This window comes from Homo sapiens, chromosome 15 (genome assembly GCF_000001405.40).
Source record: "Homo sapiens chromosome 15, GRCh38.p14 Primary Assembly".
Taxonomy (NCBI): Eukaryota; Metazoa; Chordata; class Mammalia; order Primates; family Hominidae; genus Homo; species Homo sapiens.
Window position 1 is genome coordinate 31,486,242 of NC_000015.10, and position 20,123 is coordinate 31,506,364.

At 48.2% G+C, this 20,123-nt stretch overlaps 1 protein-coding gene across 3 annotated transcripts in view, besides 2 other annotated features; it reads right to left on the reverse strand.

Moving 5' to 3' along the window:
* Positions 1-20,123, reverse strand: part of OTUD7A (OTU deubiquitinase 7A) — a 395,276-nt gene that overhangs the window by 10,844 nt on the left and 364,309 nt on the right. For 2 of the 3 annotated variants that reach the window (NM_001382637.1, NM_130901.3), the window contains 4 exons: positions 17,450-17,577; positions 15,449-15,598; positions 1,211-1,325; positions 953-1,037 (listed from right to left, as the gene is read on the reverse strand). In NM_001382637.1, the coding sequence (NP_001369566.1) occupies positions 953-1,037; positions 1,211-1,325; positions 15,449-15,598; positions 17,450-17,577 (478 nt within the window). Of the gene's footprint in view, positions 1-952; positions 1,038-1,210; positions 1,326-15,167; positions 15,599-17,449; positions 17,578-20,123 lie in introns of those variants that run through there. The other variant, NM_001329907.2, reaches the window with a different exon arrangement.
* Positions 3,574-4,223: an enhancer, noted in NCBI's record as "H3K27ac-H3K4me1 hESC enhancer chr15:31782018-31782667 (GRCh37/hg19 assembly coordinates)". NCBI's record gives its function as "activates a minimal SCP1, AML or CMV promoter by ChIP-STARR-seq in primed H9 embryonic stem cells {active_cell/tissue: H9 hESC(primed)}" and the evidence as "EXISTENCE:reporter gene assay evidence [ECO:0000049][PMID:30033119]".
* Positions 3,729-3,879: a silencer, noted in NCBI's record as "fragment chr15:31782173-31782323 (GRCh37/hg19 assembly coordinates)". NCBI's record gives its function as "represses an EF-1alpha promoter that drives an FKBP-Casp9 reporter gene in an ReSE screen in phorbol 12-myristate 13-acetate-treated (for megakaryocytic differentiation) K562 erythroleukemia cells {active_cell/tissue: K562(+PMA)}" and the evidence as "EXISTENCE:reporter gene assay evidence [ECO:0000049][PMID:32094911]".

The following is a 20,123-nucleotide window of genomic DNA, read 5'->3' on the forward strand; positions in this document are numbered from 1 at the left end:
CGGGAGTGCTCCAGGCCTTTGAGACGCAGGACTCAAACTGCCACCGACTGGCTGTCACTTATGCCATCAGTAAAATGGGGTATCAGTCCCTGCCTCATGGAGCCCTGGGAGATGACGTACAGGCAGAGGCTGGAGTCTGAGAGCACTGAGCAGTGCTGGCCACCGCCCGACTCCTTGACTCATGCCACTCCTTTACTAATTCTTTGTGAGCCCCACTTTAAGTAAATGTCTGGAGAGGACCAATTACTTGCAGGCTGTTTTTTACAAATCCTTTTCCCTGGCAGTTCACTACTGAGATTTCAAAAAACATCAATCAGTCAGATGCTTAAAATGAATCCCTCAGCGTTTGCAAGCAGGGGCAGCCCCGGACCCTCTGGAGGCAGGCAGCCTCATGGGGCGTAGGCCCCTCTCCTCACCTTCCTGCCAGCTCCACCCACCAGTGTGCTGCCTCTGGGAGGGGAGGAAGGGGGCGCCGAGGAATCGCGCTCTCAGTTCCCTGGCTTTTTTTGAGGACCCACACGGTTTGTAATTAATTCCGCTCTGCGGCAGCACATTGTGTTCTGATCTTAGCAGATAGTTTTGTGTTGTGACTTGCCTGTGGCTTGTTTTCTGAGTGGGCGTGTTGATTCCTTCTGCAGAAAATAGGGGGACAAAAAATCCCTTTACAAGAGCGCATGCTTGCATGCACACATGCCTACATGTGTGTACACAGCCACTAGGTCCAGCCAGAGCCACTTCAAGCCATAGCCAGGGTGGCCCCAGCTGCATGCAGCTGGGATGGCTAGGTCAAAGGAGGTGGAGGAGCTACTGGGCTGTGGGTATGGCTGGGGTGGGCGGCCGGGCAGGGGCAGGCAAGAGTGTGGGAGCATTTGGGAGGATGCACCCTGGTCAGACTGGAGCTGAGCAGCCTGGACCCTGCTGCCAGGTCTGGTCCCAGCACAGCCAGGCTCACCCGTGTCTCGGAGGGGATCCGGATCCACGTCACGTTCATGTAGCTGTGCAGAAGGTTCAGCTTGGCTTCTAGCGACAGGATAAGGCTGGCAAGAGAAGAATATCCTATTGAAATGGTCTGAGCTGGCCCTTATAGCACCCAGTCCACTTGCATGCCAGCTGTCCCAGGAGGAGCAGGGGTGGTACATTCCCTCCCCAGGATGCCCCAGCCATAGCCCTCCCTGTGGGCGCTGGGGAAAGGGACAGAGTAGGATCTTACTGGGCCAGCCGGGCGTTATCGTTGTCGTCTTTCCCCCACTCCCAGTCCTTGCCAGGGTCCACTGCAAAGTGCAGAGGCAGCAGCTTGTGCTCAGAATCCGTCAGGGGGATCACGGCTGGAACAGAAGAGACAGAGCCGTGCTTGGAGCCCCGGCAGTCCCCAGGCAGGATGGCAAGGAAATTCCCAAGCCAGGTATCTGGGTGACAAATGCACCGAGTGGACATCTACACAGATCTGTGCCAGCAGGAGCATGAAGACCAAAACCACTATTGCTAGTTTTTAAAATTTCGTATTTATTGCGGACAGTGGAGAGCAGTTGGAAGCGTCACCTGGACCCTGGCTCTCTTTGGGTCTGTCCAATGGCAGATACTCCATTGGGCAGCAGAATGGGAAAAAAGCTATTGCTGCCTCTGCTATTTCTAGGAAGGATCTAGGCAGGTTAGGCACACTTTGGGAGGCCACCTTGCAGGTGGGCCTGGGGCTCAGCTCTCCTGTCTCGTCCCAGAGAAGGGCCGAATGTGCAAGTCAGGTGAGCAAGGGTGTTGCTGACCTCTACTGGTTTGTAATTTTGTGCCACAAGTCTGTATCAGTGCCTGGGACCCATGGACCCACCCGCCCCTGCCCGTGGGAAGCTCACCTGTGCTGGGGACAGATAAGCAGGTTAACAAACATCTCATAATGTCAGGTGGTGATGAGCCCTGGAAGGGTAAACACCAGGCAGAAGGCAGTGATGGTGAAGCCTTTTTCGGATGGGGTCAGGGGGTCCTTTTGAGGAGGTCACATGTAGGTGGAGATTGCAGTGATGAGCCACTGGCTGGTCATTTCTCAGAGGGATTGACTCATCACAAAACTTCTGTGGTGAAACTCACCACCCGTGGGAAATCCTGGCTCACTCCAGAAGGGCTAGGGTGGAGGGGGTATCTACAGGTTTGGGATCTTCTAGGAGCTTCTGAGCTGCTGGGGGACCTGATGAGAGGAGTGCCTAGTGACACGGTTGACTCCTCCCAAGGGCATTGTCAGGGACAAGGGCAGGAGGAACTGGGAGATGGTCTCCCCAAGTCTTTCCTCGCAACAAGCAGCAGCCTCCTCCATGGGCTCCACTTAGCTCCCCTGCAGGCCCCACACCTGGGAGTCACACACAGCAGAGAAGCACAGCCACCTTGGACCAGCTGCTTTGCCTCTTTGCTGGTGCCCATGGTTCATGGCAAGGGTGCCATGGCAAGAACAAAAAGGCAAGGAAATAGATCAAATCGAAGACTGAACACCAATAGTTGATTTGGTAAGAAATTGGAAAAACTGACTCAATGCTGCCCTCCAGTGTTGCTTAAGAGGAAAAGTGGGTGCAAATAATTCCCCTCTCCACCCCCGCACCTCTTCTTCTCCAGCTTCCCCAAGCTGCCAATAAGGGAAATGCAGCTTTGCTGACCAATGACCAGCTCCGGGCTTTTCATTAATCTGGCTTGGGATTGGAAAGTGCAGTGCTCTGATTTGAGAGGTCAGGGGTGGCTTGGCCTGGCTTTGCTGCAGCCTGCTGGGTTCTGCCTTGACGTGGCCACCCTTTCCAGATCTGAGCTGCAGGGCAGACACACCCAGGGAGGGCTGCAGGGCTGGCTCAGGGACAGGTCTCCCTTGGGTGGTGCCCAGCAGCCTGTCCCATAGTTCTATGAGTCACTACACAAACAGAGAAGGGGTTAGCCTCGCTTCTTACTCATGGGGCAGGGGGTGGCACAGGCTCTCCCCATCCACAATGTTTCCCAGAATAGAGCAGTGCAGCTCCTGGGAGTTCCAAGCCCCCATGAATGGATGGGCCAAACCAAAGTGTCCAGGAAAGGGACTCAAAAAGCAACATTTTAAATAAGCATCTCCTGTGGCTTTTAAAATCAAGCAAATTCAGGAAATATTGTTCTAGAACAAGAATAATCTGTTAGAAGCAGTTCCTGTGGGTGCAACTTGGACATTTTGGGTCTGGCTGTCCACCCGCTTCCCAGGGTAGAATTGCTGTTGGAGAACATCAGCCCAGCCACCACTCCATGTCTTAGCCACCCCGGCCCCAGGATTTAGGGGGAACAGGCACCTAGTGGCATCCATGGTCTGTGGGCAGAAGCAATGTGGGAAGTGCTGGGTGATGTGCTCAGGCATGGGGGTGTCTCTCCCCACTCCCCTTCCATGGTGCCTGCAGAAGACAGCAGATCTCCACTGAAGAGCTGCCTGACAATTGAGAACACTCCTTTTAGATTTCCACTGTGTTAAGTCACTGTGATTTTGGTTTGTTTGTTTCAGATAAACCACCTAAGCTAAGACGGCACCCCAGACAGTCACCCTCACTTCCCTATCATGGGGTTCCTGGGGACTCCTCCCCTCAACAGCAGGGCTGGAATGGACTCCTTGGGCTGCCCAGGGCTCCAGTGCACGGTGGGAATACCCCTGAAGGGGCTAGTGCCTGTCCACCTAGAAGGGTCCAGCAGCCTTGCGGCCTAGATCTGGCTGGGGTGAAGGGCCAGGTACTGAGAGGCTCTACGGACATGCCTGCTCACAACTGAAGACACCGAGGGGCTCAAAGGAAGGCTTTTCTGCAGAGGGTCAACTGCGGCCTGTGGTGAGGGCTGGGGCTGCAGAGCCCAGGGACAGTTCCGGCCAGGAGGCCATGAAAACAGGTCCTCCTCGTGAGCAGCGGCTGCTCAGGATGCCTCTGCTTCTCAACTGTACACCCTGACATTTCCCTATTGGAAACCTGGCTTTACCAGTGAGGAGCAGCCATGCAGCGGCTTGCCCTCTGGTGGTAAATGTCTAGAACAGCAACTGCTTTTCAAAATGAGCCTAAAAAGGCCGGAAAGGTGTTTTGTTTTTGTTTTTGAAAGGCCTCTTGTATGTCTTTTAGCCTGGAAACATATAGGCATCATCTCATGCTAGCCTGAATATATTCTGAGTACTTATTTTCTAAAAAAAAATCAAGATTTCTGGTTTTTGTCTCCGATGTGAAAAGCTGGAAGAGCATTGTTCCACCATGAAAACATTCCAGTCAAACTGCAAATTCACAACTTATCTTTAACCCACCAGACAGCTGAAGTCACAGGGAAACCGACTTATCCAATATCTAAGGAAAGACAGGTGCCTCCAAGGAGAGACAGACATGAGCTTAAGAAGGGCCAATTCAGCTGGACCCCAGTAAGAATCATTCAGCTAAAATGGTTAAATTGGTAAAGGAACAGTATCAGCTAGTGAAATAATATGGAACCCTGGGGGCTGAAGATATAAAGGAAATTCACATGCACCTGCAGGCTCCTCTCCACAGGACCTACCTGGTTCTCCCAAAAAAGACTGGCAGGAGTTCTAAGAGAGTGTCTCCATAGATATTTCCATCCTACCTCTACCAAGGAATAAAAGCTTAAACTGCAGAGTGTAGGGCAACAAACACTGGGTGCACTAAGGGTCATCTTCTGTTACTCTGATTAAGCATCTGTCTTAGGCAGGCACTGTATCCCTGGATCTGGGGATGGGGGTGACCTTCCTGGGCTATCATAACTAGACTGGTCCAAACCTAGACTCTGAAAACCTAGCAAAAGGAAAGGCATGCTTCTTTCCAGGAATAAAAGTGATTTACTGCAGTCTTTACTGTCCTACTCAAGATGCCTGGCTTTCAGCAACGACAACAAAAAACCTATGAGGCGAAAGGAAAGATAAAAAAAAAAACCCAACACATTGATAAAAGACAAAGCAGTTTATAGAACAAGACTCAGATATGACACAGGTGTTGAAACTATCAGACAAGGAATTAAAAATAACTGATTAATAAGTTAAGGACTAATAGAAAAGCCAGATACCATGCAAGATTTGATGGTTAATTTCAGCATACAGAACAAATCTATGAGAAAGAAATGAAAATGCTAGAAATGAAAAACACCATAATAGAGGTGAAGAATGATTTTGAGGGGCTGGTCAGTTGACTTGATATAGCTGAGCAAAGAATCTGATCTGTAAACCTCAAGATAGGTTACTAGAAATGACACAAACTGAAACAGAAAAAAAGGAGGTGGGAAACTGAACACAGCATCTAAGAGCTGTGTGACAATATCAGCACCTTAAGTTCTGTGTAAATGAAATCCCAGAAGAGGGAAAGAACAATGCAAAATAAAATTTTAAAGAAATAATGGCTAAGAATTTTTCAAAATTAATGACAACCATCAACACAGATCTAAGAAACTAAGAGAACATCAAGAAGAAAAAGTAACACCACCACAAATATTCCTATAATAGCCTCTTAACACTTCTGAAACCCAAAGACAAAAAGAAAGTCTTGAAGGCAGCCAGAGAAAAAAGAGGATACATTATACAGAGAAAAACAAAGGTACAAATTACAACAGACTTTTCATGGTAAAACAGGTAAGCCAGAAGATAATGGAGTGACATTTTTAAAGTGCTGAAAGAAAAAAAAAAACTGTTAATCTAGAATTCTATACCCAGCCAAAATATCTCTGAAACATGAAGAAGACATAAAGAGTTTTTCAAATAAAAGTGAGCAAATCATTGCCAGCAGACCTGAACTACAGGAGATGTTAAAGTGCAAGAAATATGGTACCAGTAGAAACTTGTATTTACACAATTAAGAGTGATGGAAATGGAATAAATGGATGTGAAAATTCATTTTTTTCTTCTTTTTAATTGCTCTAACAGATAACTGTCTAAAGCAAAGGGCAGCAGTGCATTATGAATTTATAACAGATGTAAAAATAAAATGTCTGATAATAGCAAAGAATGGGAGGGAGGGATTGGTAATACACTGTTGTAATATCCTTATACAACATGTGAAGTCAAGTAATATTACTTAAAATAGAATCTCATTAATTAGACCAGGTGTGGTGGCTCACACCTGTAATTCCAACACTTTGGGAGGCCAAGGTGGTTGGATCACTTGAGGTCAGGAGTTCAAGATCAGCCTGGCCAACATGGTGAAACCCCATCTCTACTAAAAATACAAAAATTAGCTGGGCATGGTGCTGTGTGCCTGTAATCCAGCTACTCTGGAGGCAGAGGCAGGAGAATCGCTTGAACCCAGGAGGCGGAGGCTGCAGTGAGAGCCTGCAAGATCATGCCACTGCACTCCAGCCTGAGTGACAGAGTGAGACTCTGTCTCAAAAAAAAAAAAAAAAACAAATCTCATTAATTAAAGATGTTTATTGCAAACCCTAGGGAAACCACTAACAATTAAAAATAGGGGTATAACAGGTCCATAGTGGAAATAAAACGGAACCATTAAAAAGCTCAATTTACCCAAGATAAGATAGCAAAAGAGAAACAAAAGGAAAAAAGAACTCATACAGTACATAGAAAACAGGTAGCAAGATGGTGGATTTTAATCCAAACATATCATTAATACTATTAAATGAAAATGGTCAAAACGTATCTTTTAAAAGATAAAATTGTCAGACTGGATGAAAAAGCAAAACCCACATATATGCTGTCTACAAGAATCTCATTGTAAGGGCCAGGCACTGTGGCTCATGCCCAGCACTTTGGGAGGCTGAGATGGGTGGATCACTTGAGGTCAGGGGTTCGAGACCAGCCTGGCCAACATGATGAAACCCTGTCTCTACTAAAAATACAAAAATTAGCTGGGCATGATAGTGTGTGCCTGTAATCCTAGCTACTCGGGAGGCTGAGGCAGGAGAATTGCTTGAACCTGAGAGGTTGAGGTTGTAGGAAAAAAAAAAAAGAAAAAGAATCCCATTTTAAATATAAAGACATATGGAGGTTAAAAGATATTCACTAATGGAAAGAGAGCTAGAGTAGCCATATTTATGTCAAAGTAGGCTCCACAACATGGACTGTTACCAAAGAAAAAGAGGAACATTACATAATGCTAAAGGGGTCAATTTTCCAAGAAGCCATAATCATCCTATGTGTATGCATGCTAACAACATAGCTTCAAAGTACATGAAGCAAATACTAACAAAAATGAGAGAAATAAACAAATGTATTACAGCTGCAGACTTTGCTACTTTTTGCTCAGTAACTGACAGAGCAAGTAGGCAGAAACCAGTAAGGATATAGAAGAACTGAGCTGCACTCTCAGAGAATTTGAGGTAATTGACATTTCTAGAACCTAACAAGAGCAGAGTATATATTATTTTCAAATACATATGGAATATTCACCAACACAGAACATATTCTTAGCCAGTCTGAGTGCATTAAAAAGAACAGAAATCATGATGTTTGTGCTCATGTCATAACTGAAACTATAAACCAGTAACGAATATTTGAACAATCCCCCAAAACTTGAAACTCAAACAGCCTGTTTCTAAATAATCCATAAGTCAGAGGAAGTCTCATGGGAAATTAACGAATAGTTTGAACGGAATGAAAATGCAAATATAGCACATCAAAATTTGTATGGTGTAGTTACAGCAGTACTTAGGGGAAAAGTTATAGCATTAAAATGCTCATATTAGATGAGAAAACAGTCTCAAATTAGTAATCAAAATTTCTGCCTTAAGAAACTAGAAAAGGGGTAGCAAATTAAACTCAAAGCAGAGAGGGAGGAGGGAAGTAATGATAGCCTGTACGTGAGGCCAAGGCCAGCCCCTGAGGATCGGGCCCCTAGGCTGGGGCATCAGGGCCAATGGTGGCAGACATACATTCTCTGGCCTAAAGTTTATATGTAGATAAGATATTTGGATTGGTCATTGGTCTATAGACTAAGCTTGCTATTGACTGAATATTTGTGTTCCTCCAACATTCACTGTTAAAGCTTAGTCTCCATGTAAGAGTATTAGAAGTGTGGTCTTTGGGAGGTGATTAAGGCATGAGGATGGAGTCCTTGAGAATGGGATTAGTGCCTTTATAACAACAGGCACGAGAGCGCTCTTCTTTCTCTCTCTTGGCCACGTGAGGACACAGTAAAAAGTGGCTGTGTGTAGACCAGGAGGAGGACACCCTTACCAGACTCCAAATCTGCTGGCTCCTGGATCTTGTATTCCCAGCTTCCAGAACTATCAGAAATAAATTTCTATTGTTTATAAGCCACCCAGTCTATGGTATTCTGTGGCAGCAGCCTGAATTGACTAAGACAAAACTGGAAAAAGTGCTGACCAGAATTAAGGAAACTGTACTGCTGAAAAAACTCTCAGGCTGAGAGAGCGTTCAGCATCTAACACAATTTCTGGGCTCCTGAACTCATGCCAAAAGTGGGTGGTGAAGCTCTCAGCCCCAGAGGGTGCACTCTGTGCACACATCAGATGTGGCCCTGTGGGACAATGACAACTGGGGTCTCCTCAGAGAGCAGAACCAGGATGTCACCCTGGCCCACCAAAAACTCACTCCCCACATCCAGGGCAGTGAGTGCTGGCTGCTCCTGTCCTGCAGGTAGGACAGGTGGCTGGTGCTGCTGCCTCCCAGCCCCTCTCAGAAGCGGTTTTGTTGGAGCACATGTTCTCACTCCAGTACCATGCATGGGAGCATGGAGTCCTCAGGAGCCTGGAGTGGCCAGATGGAGGAAACTGCACATCACACAGAGATGGCTGGGGCCCTCATTTGGGAATCAGGGGCGATGGTGGCTGGTATGCGCTTCCTGTGGGCATGGACGTCTTGGGGAGGTCTGGTGGGGGATCCAGGTGTCTGTGCCTAATTTGTAGCTCAGGAGGGGACAGGCAGGGCTCCTGAGGGGAGGCTGGCATCTGGGTGCACTCTTGCTTTCTCTTCTCTCCAGGCCTTCAGGCATGACTGAAAAACCCTCAGCCAGTTCTTTCCGTGGAGTTAACTGTGGCTGGCATCCCTTTGGAACAGTGCTTTGGGTCCCTGAGTTGATGGTCATTGGGGTAGGGCATGAACCAATCAGCAGATGTATTGTGGATAAACACACCTCGTGCTTTTAATCAGCGTTACTCAGCTCTCTGGGCACCTGCCCACTCTATAAGCTGAAGACAGAGCTCCATAGCCATGAAGTCCCTTCCATAGCTCCTGGCCACCTCATGGTGCTTTGTGATCTGTAGGTCAACAGTGTCAAAGATGACAGACTTGAGAAACAAAGGTCTCAGCTAAAAGTCTGGATGCCCCCAACCCCAGCTCCTCGGCCTCTCACCCCTTAGCCAGGGGCCTTTGCAGACAAAGGTTCTTCAGGGTTCTGTGCTCTGGGGCTCCTGAGAGGAGTGGCAAAGAAATATGGCCCAGTGAGACTGGCCACACACCACAAGGGTAGGCGTAGCTGTGCTTTTTACTCCCACTCTGACCCTATCTTTCAGTGGCAACTGACAAACTTAGAAAGTAGCCAAGAGAAGGGAGACTAATTACAAACGTAATTCAGTTTGGGGGCACTTCTGGTTTCCAAAACCTTCTTGCTGGCCGGGCGTAGTGGCTCACACCTGTAATCCCAGTACTTTGGGAGGCTGAGGTGGACAGATCACTTGAGCTCAGGAGTTTGAGACCAGCCTGGGCAACATGGAGAAACACCGTCTGTACCAAAAGTACAGAAAGTTAGCTGGGCTTGTGGCATGTGCCTGTAGTCCCACCTACTCGGGAGGCTGAGATGGGAGGATCTGTTGAGCCTGGGAGGTGGAGGTTGCAATGAGCCAAGATCATGGCACTGTACTCCAGCCTGGGTGACAGAATGAAACCCCATCTCAAAAAAAAAAAAAAAAGTTTCAAAAAAAAAAACTTTCTTGCCACCATGAACTAAGCTGATTCTTACCGTAATGTCTTGTAATAGGCATTACATACTTCCTCCATTATTTTATTCAGATAGGTACACAAATAGACCAATTTGATTGGTATTTGATAAATGATTTTTTTTTTTTTTGAGATGGAGTCTCGCTCTGTCGCCCAGGCTGGAGTGCAGTGGCACGATCTTGGCTCACTGCAAGCTCTGCCTCCCTGGTTCATGCCATTCTCCTGCCTCAGCCTCCTGCGTAGCTGGGACTACAGGCACCTGCCACCATGCCCAGTTAATTTTTTGTATTTTTTAGTAGAGACGGGGTTTCACCATGTTAGCCAGGATGGTCTTGATCTCCTGACCTCGTGATCCGCCTGCCTCAGCCTCCCAATGTGCTGGGATTACAGGCATGAGCCACCGCGCCCCGCCGATAAATGATTCTTTAACACAATTTTAAAATCAAGTTGAGCAGAATATGTAATGATACTTGTAACATGTAAAGATACATTTCTATTTAAAAAGAGATTGGATCTGTTTATTATAAATTAATCCTGCAAGAAAAAGCATGGTTCATTGTCAAACATATTGAAAACTGGAATGTTACATTCCGTGTGGCTTGGGGAATAGTAGAGCATAGGTGAGCATTTGATTTAACCACGAGCCATACATCAAATACAGATGGAAGGCTGCTTCCATGGCCCGGTGGGTAGAAGTACTCTGTTTGGCTCCCAAGATCCCTAGCAGACACTTATAAACTTGCTGTGTTGTTTCTAAGCAGCAAGAGACAAATTGGTAAGCTGCTCTTTGCAAAAACTTTTTTTTTTTCAAGTATCACATTTTGAATGTGTTGAGTCTCTGTTCCCAATAAAGGGATGGCCAACCTTGGTGTGATCATCTGTAAGCCTCGATCCTTGCAGTCTGCAGCCGTTTCAGAGCTCTCTGTTCACACCAGCATCTCCCCCTCCATCTGTAACCAGTGGACTCCCTCAGGGCTCCTGTGTGCTGCTCTCTAGGTTCCTTAAGTGGGACCCTTGGGGGAAGGCACTGAGGACACACTGAGGGTGCCCTGACCTCTGTGTGGCCCCTGGATATGCCTCAGAGGCTCACAGGCTGTTTGTATATATGAGGGAAAAACTATTTAAATAATTGACTTATATGTTAATTTTTTTTTTTTTGAGATGAAGTCTCACTCTGTCATCCAGGTTGGAGTGCAGTGACGCAAGCTTGGCTCACTGCAACCTCCACCTCCCAGGTTCAAGAGATTCTCCTGTCACAGCCTCCTGAGTAGCTGGGATTACAGGCACATGCTGCCATGCCCAGATAATTTTTTATATTTTAGTAGAGATGGGGTTTCACCATGTTGCCCAGACTGGTCTTGAACTCCTGAGCTCAGGCAACCCACCCACCTCGGCCTCCCAAAGTGCTGAGATTACAGGTGTGAGCCACTGTGCCTGGCCAATAAATATTAATTTTTAAGAAAAGAATAGCCACAGATGGCATTGACACCTTCCATGAAACAAAGCACCCCCTCCCTACCCTCTTCGACCCTGAAGGTTCCTGAGTCCTGGGTCTGAGACGCTATCTTATCCCAAGCAGGCTTTGACTTGGGGTACCACTTCCTGAGCCTCTTCTCTTGGAGATGCCACTCTCTTGGGCCAAGTCTTTGTGGAAGCCTCGCCATCCACCCTCCCAACCCTTCACTGGCTGCAACTATTCCCTGGGGATGGTTCCTCCTTTCTCAATTTCCCCCTCTGTAAAGTGGGGAAGAGGAAATGGGAAGGGTTAAATAGGTATTCCTGGAAAGGACCTAGAACAGCCCTTGAGCACAGGAAGCACCTGCAAATATATGAGCATGAAGGTGGGGTGCAGACCTAGGCAGCACCTGTATGCACCCAGCCCTTCCCAGTGCAACCTGCTGGCCAGGCCGAGAGCTAACATGTACACATGGGTATGCTCTGCACGGCTCTATATCCACCCAAAGGGAAGAGGAGCTGTGGAGATGGGCAAGGCTGTGCTTGGCTTGTTTGGGACTTTACCAAGAGTTAGCTGCCATTTTGGACTGTAGAGCCTCCTGGGGTATTTGAGGGTATGCTCAGCACACCTGTGTCCCCTCTCTGTGTAACTGGGCACCCCACATATGGGTGCCAGGATCTGATTGCTTCATTGAGTTTTGCAGTATGGCTGTGTGAGAATATTTACAGAAATGCAGATTATTTTATTACATTGGTTTCCTTTGATTTCTCCTGATGTGGGGGTACTAAATGGACTTTATTCCAACACAGGTAACATTATCCATGAATTTCATTTCAGGGTAATGAAGAGTACACTGGACAATGTTTGCTATAAAAGGAGGGGAGTTGGGATTGTTGCACTGGATGATTCCAAAGTTCTTTCCTAGGTTCTATGTTTCCAGGAACTATGCGGCACCTCTGCTTCTCCTGTTAATTGATTTGATTTTTCATAATGTACACATTTGCTCAGTGGCCAGTAGGAACTGACCTGAGCTGGGTGCTGAGAGAATGCCCAGATCTGGGTTTCACAGAGCTCCCCTGCAGGCCATTTTAAGATGTGGCTGCAAGGAGGCTGCTTCCTGCAAAAAGCTGAAGGCCCAAGGCTCAGGTTGTCAGGGAGCAAATGACTAATGTCCTCCCCAGGAGAAAGCAGGTGACCATCATGTGTGGAAGCTACCAAGAAAGAATGCATACATTTTATCTAAAAAGTCCTAAGATAAATTTGCAAAGCCTGGGCCACTGAGGTTGCCCATAGCTGACCAGTCCCACCAGCTCCTGACCTTCCACCTCAAGCCCTTCCCTCTCCCCATGTTGCATGCCTAGCCTGGGAAATGGGAGGATTCCTGAACTTGAAGATGGTCAGTGGCGGCATCAGCAGTAGCCGGGCCACGGCAGTAGCACCTATAAGAGGGGGCTTCCCTTAGAGGGAGAGGCACTCGATGAGAAGTTTAAAGAATGCTTCATGGATTTTTAAGCCTCCAGGAGCTGGACACATGTGGATGAGACATGATGGGGCATGTAAACAGAGGAGGAGGAAGTGGGTGGTGGGAAGAAGGGAGCCTTGTCTCAGCCTGAAATACATTTTTTATCTCATTTCCAGGCTCTCAAAGCATCGTTCCGCAGGCACAAGGATGCGGTGTCTGCTCTTCCTGGGGCTTGTGATTATTGTATCTATTAGCCTCTGTCACAGGGTGCTGTTTATAGGACGGACAGGGTACCATGGCAGAGGGTGACACCTGTGCTTCACAGTGGGGGCCGGTGGCATCCTGGGGCTCGATATTCTGGAGTCTCCCATCTCCTGCCTCCCACCAGGTCCTGCGACTTTGCGGTCTGGCCAGCTCACTCCAGCAGGCCTGAGTCTGCAGCTCATCCTGGAAGCTGCAGCCTCACTGTGATTTCCACGTCCCTCTCTGCTGAGATGTCGTGTGACTTGAGAGCACAGCTGGGACTCTGTCCCGTCCCCACAGTGTCCTTTGAGGCACAGAGGGAAGGCTGCAGAGGTGAAGGTCTAAGGGGGCACAAGGGTGCAGGTGACAAAGAGCGTGGCCATGGCACCTGCCCTGCAGTGGGTCGTGGGGACCTTATGGGTGAATGTGCAGCCTGGCCACAGGATGGTCTTAGAGGCAGGGACCTGCATCGCCCCAGGAGGATCCCAGTGGGCTGCTTTGACTGTGAGGGAGCCAAAGACCCACACCACAGTGGCTCTGAGAGGTGCACTGGGACCAGATCCCAGTTTTTAGAAACCAGGTCATCAGAAGTGAAACCACCCACAACTCTGCAAGGCCCTCCTGAAAGGTCCCAAGCCACAGCGCCCTCCATGGGCATCCTTTGAAGGGAGGATGCTTTCATATGTGCCTTGAAAACACCAAGCAGCAGTATCTGGAAGGCCTGGAAGAGTACTCGGTGCCTTTTGCGAGGAGGGGGTCGGGTATCTGAACCCCATGCTCGGAACTGGGAGACGCTGGCCTTGGGACCATCACCTTCTGACCACAGAATCTCCCTGGGGACTGGACAGAGGGCCCCGCCCCTGGCCGATCCCAGGTCCTGAAAAGGCCCTTCTGGTCTCCCAAGAGGCGGGGTCAGCCCTACGAAGAGCTAAATCCCCGGGAAGGAGGTGCAGGCATTCCGCATTCCGGATTGAAAGTGGGGAGACAATGGAAAGACCGGAGCACCTCCGAGGCCTTACTGATTAAATCTTTCCTTCTGTGGCCAGTGCCACATCTGCAAATAATAAAGAACCATGATGTGACATTCTTGTCACGGCCGGCTGTAGCCTCCAGTCGTCTCTCTTCCTGTGACTTGGGTTCTGCGGCTGCACCACGCATGTCAGCTCCTGGGAGCTCTGCATCTGCTCTTGGGAAGGGGTCTCAAATGCCCTGTGCATTTCTCACCTTCAGCTTCTGCTCCACAGCCCCAGCCTCATTCCCGACTCAACTGCCAGGCCAGGAAGTGACACGCTGGTGCCGCCTCTGGCGGAGGGCTGGGGGAGGCTGGGTTCTGTTCATTTGTCTGTGTCCTTTCCTTCCCAGCTGTCTACAGGAAGGAGTAGCATTTGGGAGTCCTAGGGGTGCAATCTTGTTGCTATATTTACTTCCTGAGCTGCACACTCAGTGGAAAAGGTCAGAAGCAGACACCCCTGAGCTTCCTTCCCCCTGTTGGCCCTGGACAGGGCACTTCCCATTCTCTGGGACCATACCTAATGGCAGGGACTCTGAAATAGTTGGTCTTGCCTGTCCGTCTGTCCCCTGGGGGAGTGAGTCTCTGCCTATACTACAAACAAGAATGACAACAGGAAGGGGTTTCCTCTCCACTCAGCTGGTCACACATCCATCAGTAGCTAACATGAGAAAACAGCAATTGTTCCAAACAAAATCCCCCTATTTCCCCAGTAAAGACATTGACTGGTGCCCTGGAATTGTGCAGTGCACAGCCTGTGGGCTGGCCCAACATCAGCAGCACTGAAATGGCTGCTTAGAGGAAACTCAGCTGCAATGCTTTGAAAGGAAATGTTGACCTTTTGAGTTAAAAGCTTACCCTGGAGCAGGGGTGAGCAAACTCTTCCCATAAATAGCTAATTAGTAAGTAAATATTTTAGGCGCTGCAGGCCTTGGTGTCTGTGGCTGCTCCTCTCTCTACCACTGTAGTGCAAAAACGGCCACAGATGATGCATCTGTGAATGAATGTGGCTCTGTTCCAATAAAACTTTATTTATAAAATGGGTGGTGGGCCATAGTTCATTAATACTTGCTTTTGAAGTTTTTTTCCCTTTAATTTATATCTAAGACTAATTGCATTCCTATAAAATATGTATACATGTGAAAGGGAAAACAGTAAAAGCTATTTAAGGGTAGGTTGCCTTTGTTTAGTATTTTAAAGAGAATGTTGTCTTTAACATTGTTATTTTCAATGAAAACGTTCACACATGCATAAGGTAGCTTTATGCAAAAACTGTCACTGCTGAGTGTGCACAGGTGTGCTTCTAAGGGGGGGTCTCCACAATCCACCTCCCCGTGCAATGGGGTCCCTTCTGATGGCTCTGCCCCCACCCTAGGCTCCTGCGTGCACTCTCTTGGGAGACAGGCATACCTTGTTCTCTTTGCTGGTCTCTCTGTTCCATGGACACAAGGGCAGAGAAATGGGCTTGATCATAGGCCAGAACCAGAGGCGAGCAGTGGCATCTGTTGGGAGGGACCTCCAAGGGCAGGTAGATCCCTCCGAATGGGATGGGTGCGAACGCTGTGGACACAAACCAGGGTGAGGGTGTGAGGAGCAGCCAGCTCGAGCTGGGAGGGGAGGCCCCTGCATCCCTGTCCCTCACTACCCCGGGGGGACTCCGTGGAGAAGCGGAGGGACAGGAGGGGTGGATGGAGGCGGTGCTGAGGGATGGGGCTGAGGGTTTCCAGAGTCATCTGTCTGCCCCAGGACTCCTGCTGCCCTGAGACCTGCACAGGTGTACAGGAGCCCCAGGGCTGGGATGACAGTCACCCGAGATTGGTCAGAGCAGTTGCAGCCTGGAAGCCCACCTTTTTCTGGATGTACTTCTTCCTTTCCTAGTGTTTGGTAAAGCATTTGTATACAACAGAGTATGTGCGCTTCTCAAGGGTGTATATTTGCTCTATGTTTTGAGAACCTCTTCTATTGAATTTGAAGGAACCAGTCAGAGAGCTCCAGGACCAAGATGTAAGTCAGATGGGAACTGAGAATCAGAGGGATCAAGTCCTTCAGTGACAGGGACACAATTTCACTCATTTTCTTACTTGTAAAAAAAGAGGGCAGAAAAGCCTAACACCCTCAGCAAAATAGAATAACTTCTGGAAATATCTGTCCTAAAGCAGCATCTGCTTTGAGGTCATGAAACGTCTTTACTTTTGGCCCTAGAGTGAGTGTATTGCTGCACTCCTTGAGCAGAATTCAGGGACGGTAATTTCAGGGATGTCTTTGATGAACTCTTATGAGTTCCTCCGCCATCCTCACTTTGTCTAAATTGATCACTGTGCTCACAGGAGAGTCAGACTGAGAGGCGACAGGGTGGGGGTACCTGCAAGAGGGCTGTGAGTAGCATGGTAGGAAGCGTGGACCTTCCTCTGCCCCGCAACTCAGAGATCTGATGGTGCTGGGAGCTCAGTCCTGGGCTTACGCAGCAGTGCCCTGATGCAAGCCCTGGTGTTGCACGGAGACCTGCAGACCTCAGCAGGCCCGCGTCCCTGAGCCACACAGGGAAGGGGGTGGGCCAGGCAGGACCTGTGTCCTACCAGTTCCCTGGCTACATAACCATCGTGGCCACATCAGATTTTTTATGGCAGCTGTGATTTAGCGTGAAGAGCCACATCCTGATTCGTAGAGCTCCCTGGAAGACCTATGACTTTTGTTAAGGTGCAGGTGTAAATTCAAACTGGGCAGCTGCACGCTGGAGGGAGGACAGGCTTTGGATCACTCCCTGCCCTTGGCTGATCCCCGCTGGGGACATTGCCTAGCCTCTCTGGGCTTCAGTTTCATCTCTGTAAAGTGGGGAGGGTGGTGTCCACCCTGGGAGGTTGTAGCAAGGGCTGAATGGAGGAACATTCTAGAAGGGGCTGTGCACAGAGTGTGGCTTTTGGTGGGCAGGCCATAAACTGCCCTTGCCTCTTTCTCTGCCAGTTCTGATTCTACCATAGCTTTTGCCAAATGACTCTATGCATTCTGTCTTCCTTTCTTTTTAGTCTTTAACACACATGTGGTCTGCGGAGGGGTGGGAACACACCTGAGTGACTGAGTGCCTCCAGGACATGGCCCAGGGCTGTTGGAGGGGTGTGGGCTGTCTGCTATGCCCTAGGCACACGACAGGAGACAGGAGCCCCTCTGGGCTTGGTCCTGGTCCTCACATGACCAGATTTCTCCTGGCCACCTGCCGTTGATAGGCAGGGCAGCTAGTCAAGAACAATCTCTGCTGCCATCAGGGAGGAGAAAGAAACACGTCGAGGAGATCTTTGCACAGAGTGATGCTTTGTGGCCTCTGGGAGCTCGACCTTGTGCTGTGCTATCTGCTTTCTAGCTGGGATGCTATGCTTTCTGTGTCATGAATACAACACATCTCTTTGAGGAACTTACCTTCTCCACCTGAGTCTCTTAACATTGTATCTGCCACAACAACGATGGGCCTTCTTAATATATGGGCTAGGACAAAAACGTGGAACTCTTCCAGGCTCTCGTACACGGGGTCCTCAGAGTTGTCCACACTGTGAAACAAAACAGAGCCAGCTGGTCACTGACTAAAACAGGGTGGAGGATGGAGAAAGTGGGGACTGCTTCATGCAGGGGCTGAGCCCTCCCCACTCTGGATATTATCTTCATGGACCCCGGCAGCTGCGCCATCCTGGGCCACTTCTCATGCCATCCGCCGATGGCAAATGCACAGGTCCCAGCTCCCCTACCCCACCGTGGGAGCGGTCTCAGAAGATGAGTTGGAAAGAGCCCGCAGGTGAAGGGTGCCGGCCGCTGTGAAGGCGAGTCTCTCTGCAGGCGGAGGCAGCCCACCAGAGCCTGTGGTAGCAGGGCTATTGGCTTTCTGGGGGTGTTTCACAAGGAAGCAGTGGGGGCCAGAGGGATGGAGGGGTTCCTCTCCTGTTTATTTCTCTCAGGGACCCAGGGGTTCCCTGGGCACATCTGATGGGCTGGTGGGGTCATTACCACCAAGATCTGAGGAGCCTTCTAGAAGACACTCACCCCAATGGAGGAGAACAGTGAGAAGGCTGTCTGGATTTCAATCCAGAGCTGGAGGGGATGCGATGTGAATGTGCAGCCCAGGTGGCCCAGACCCTCCCTGACCATGCCCAGGCTCACGTCTGAGGATCAGGGAAACCGCAGGCTCAAGAATGCTTCCACTCAAACCCTAAGACGTTCGGGCAGAAGGTGGCAGCCTCGATGTCCCCCCATAGCAAGGCCACCCAAAAGGGAGGTGCACGTTGAGAGGACAGCCAGAGCTCACAGCGTTATGGAGCCTCGGCTGCACCTGCAGTGCCTGCCAGCTGAGATGACAGCACCAGCCAAGACTCCCCAGAGGTGGCTCTCAGACTTGTTCCTGAGTGTTTGAGGAATGCTCAGAATTAGCTGACGGCAGCAGGTGGGGCCAGGGCTGGCAAATGTGGCCCCTGGCATGGCCTGGGGAAAGAGCTTCATGGGTTCATGGGCACAGTTCCCAGCCACCTGGGACTTCCAGAATGCAGGGTGTGAATCCTAGGGAATGCATTACCATCACCTGTGGAATTTTGGTTACATACTACCCATGTTTTTTCTTTTTCTTATGACTCAATTTACCTTTTTTTTTTTGAGACAGAGTCTTGCTTTGTTACCCAGCCTGGAGTGCAGTGGCGTTATCTCAGCTCAATGCAACCTGCTTGAAATGTTTGTTTTCTGGTGGTGTAAAGAAATAGCACTTGAATATAAATTTTTTTAGTAAGGCTATTTTTATATTTTTTGTAGAAAGGGTATACTTGCTCGCAGTTTTGTTATGAGAGTATATTGAATAAAGGAGATAAGGTTATTTATAACCTGACATGTCCACCTTATTGCTGTGTCCAGTTTTTATTGGGTGGAATGGGATTTTACATTTTGTATTTGTTTTGATTGGTTAGTAACTTTGAATTTTTTAAAAGAGGCAAACGCAGAGGAGAATAAAGGAAGGAATGTTGAGAAAGGTAAAAATACTTTTAAATAAGGAAGAGGAACAGGATGTGACTTACTGCTTTCTTGGACTAGTATAAGTATGCTAGGGCAAATATTTAGGCTAAATTGTGGGAGCTAAGAATATAAAGTATACTGATTTTTTTATTATGGCTAGCAGATATTTAAGAATCTTAGCACAGGTCTTTGAATAAATTTTGCTTCTAAGAGAAGTTACTATTTATTTTTAATTAGATGGGGAGGAAAGGCTTTGAAGAGAAAACTCTATTTTACTTTTTACAATTCTCCCTCTTATAATTTTTTTTTAATTTGTCTGTTTTAATAGCTTTAAGAGAAGTAATTTTTCGAATAGGGTGGAGGAGAGTTAGGAGTTAACTTTGTAAGAGTGGTAGAGATAAGTTTTTGTATAAAATTTTGAAGGCAGGGAATAACATAATAGCTTATAAGTATATTAATAAGAGCGAACAAGGTGAGAATTGAAGTTAATTTTTTTTTTTTTTTTTTTGAGGTGGAGTCTCACTCTGTCGCCCAGGCTGGAGTGCAGTGGCATGATCTCGGCTCACTGCAAGCTCCACCTCCCGGGTTCACGCCATTCTCCTGCCTCAGCCTCCCTGGTAGCTGGGACTACAGGCGCCCGCCACCACGCCCGGCTAATTTTTTGTATTTTTAGTAGAGACGTGTTAGCCAGGATGGTCTTGATCTCCTGACCTCGTGATCCACCTGCCTCGGCCTCCCAAAGTGCTGGGATTACAGACGTGAGCCACCATGCCTGGCCACAATTTTTTTTTTTACTTATCGAATTAATGTTTTATTATTTTAGAAAAAGGGTTATTTATTTTAGAATTTTTGGCAAGTTTATTGGATAGTGCTGTTAATTTTTGTAGTGCTTTTGTTATAGTTTTGTTAGGGGCAGTATTAGGAATAAAGGTACAATATTGAGTTTTAATTATGACTTTTTTTTTTTGCTGATATTATATTTAAAGCTTTTTTTAAGGCAATTTGTCTGGTAGGTCCTAATTGCTTAGCTATTTTTTTGATGGCGTTTTCAGTGTAATTTATGAATTGTTGCTGATTGTAACAGATACAGTTTAGTTTACATTTT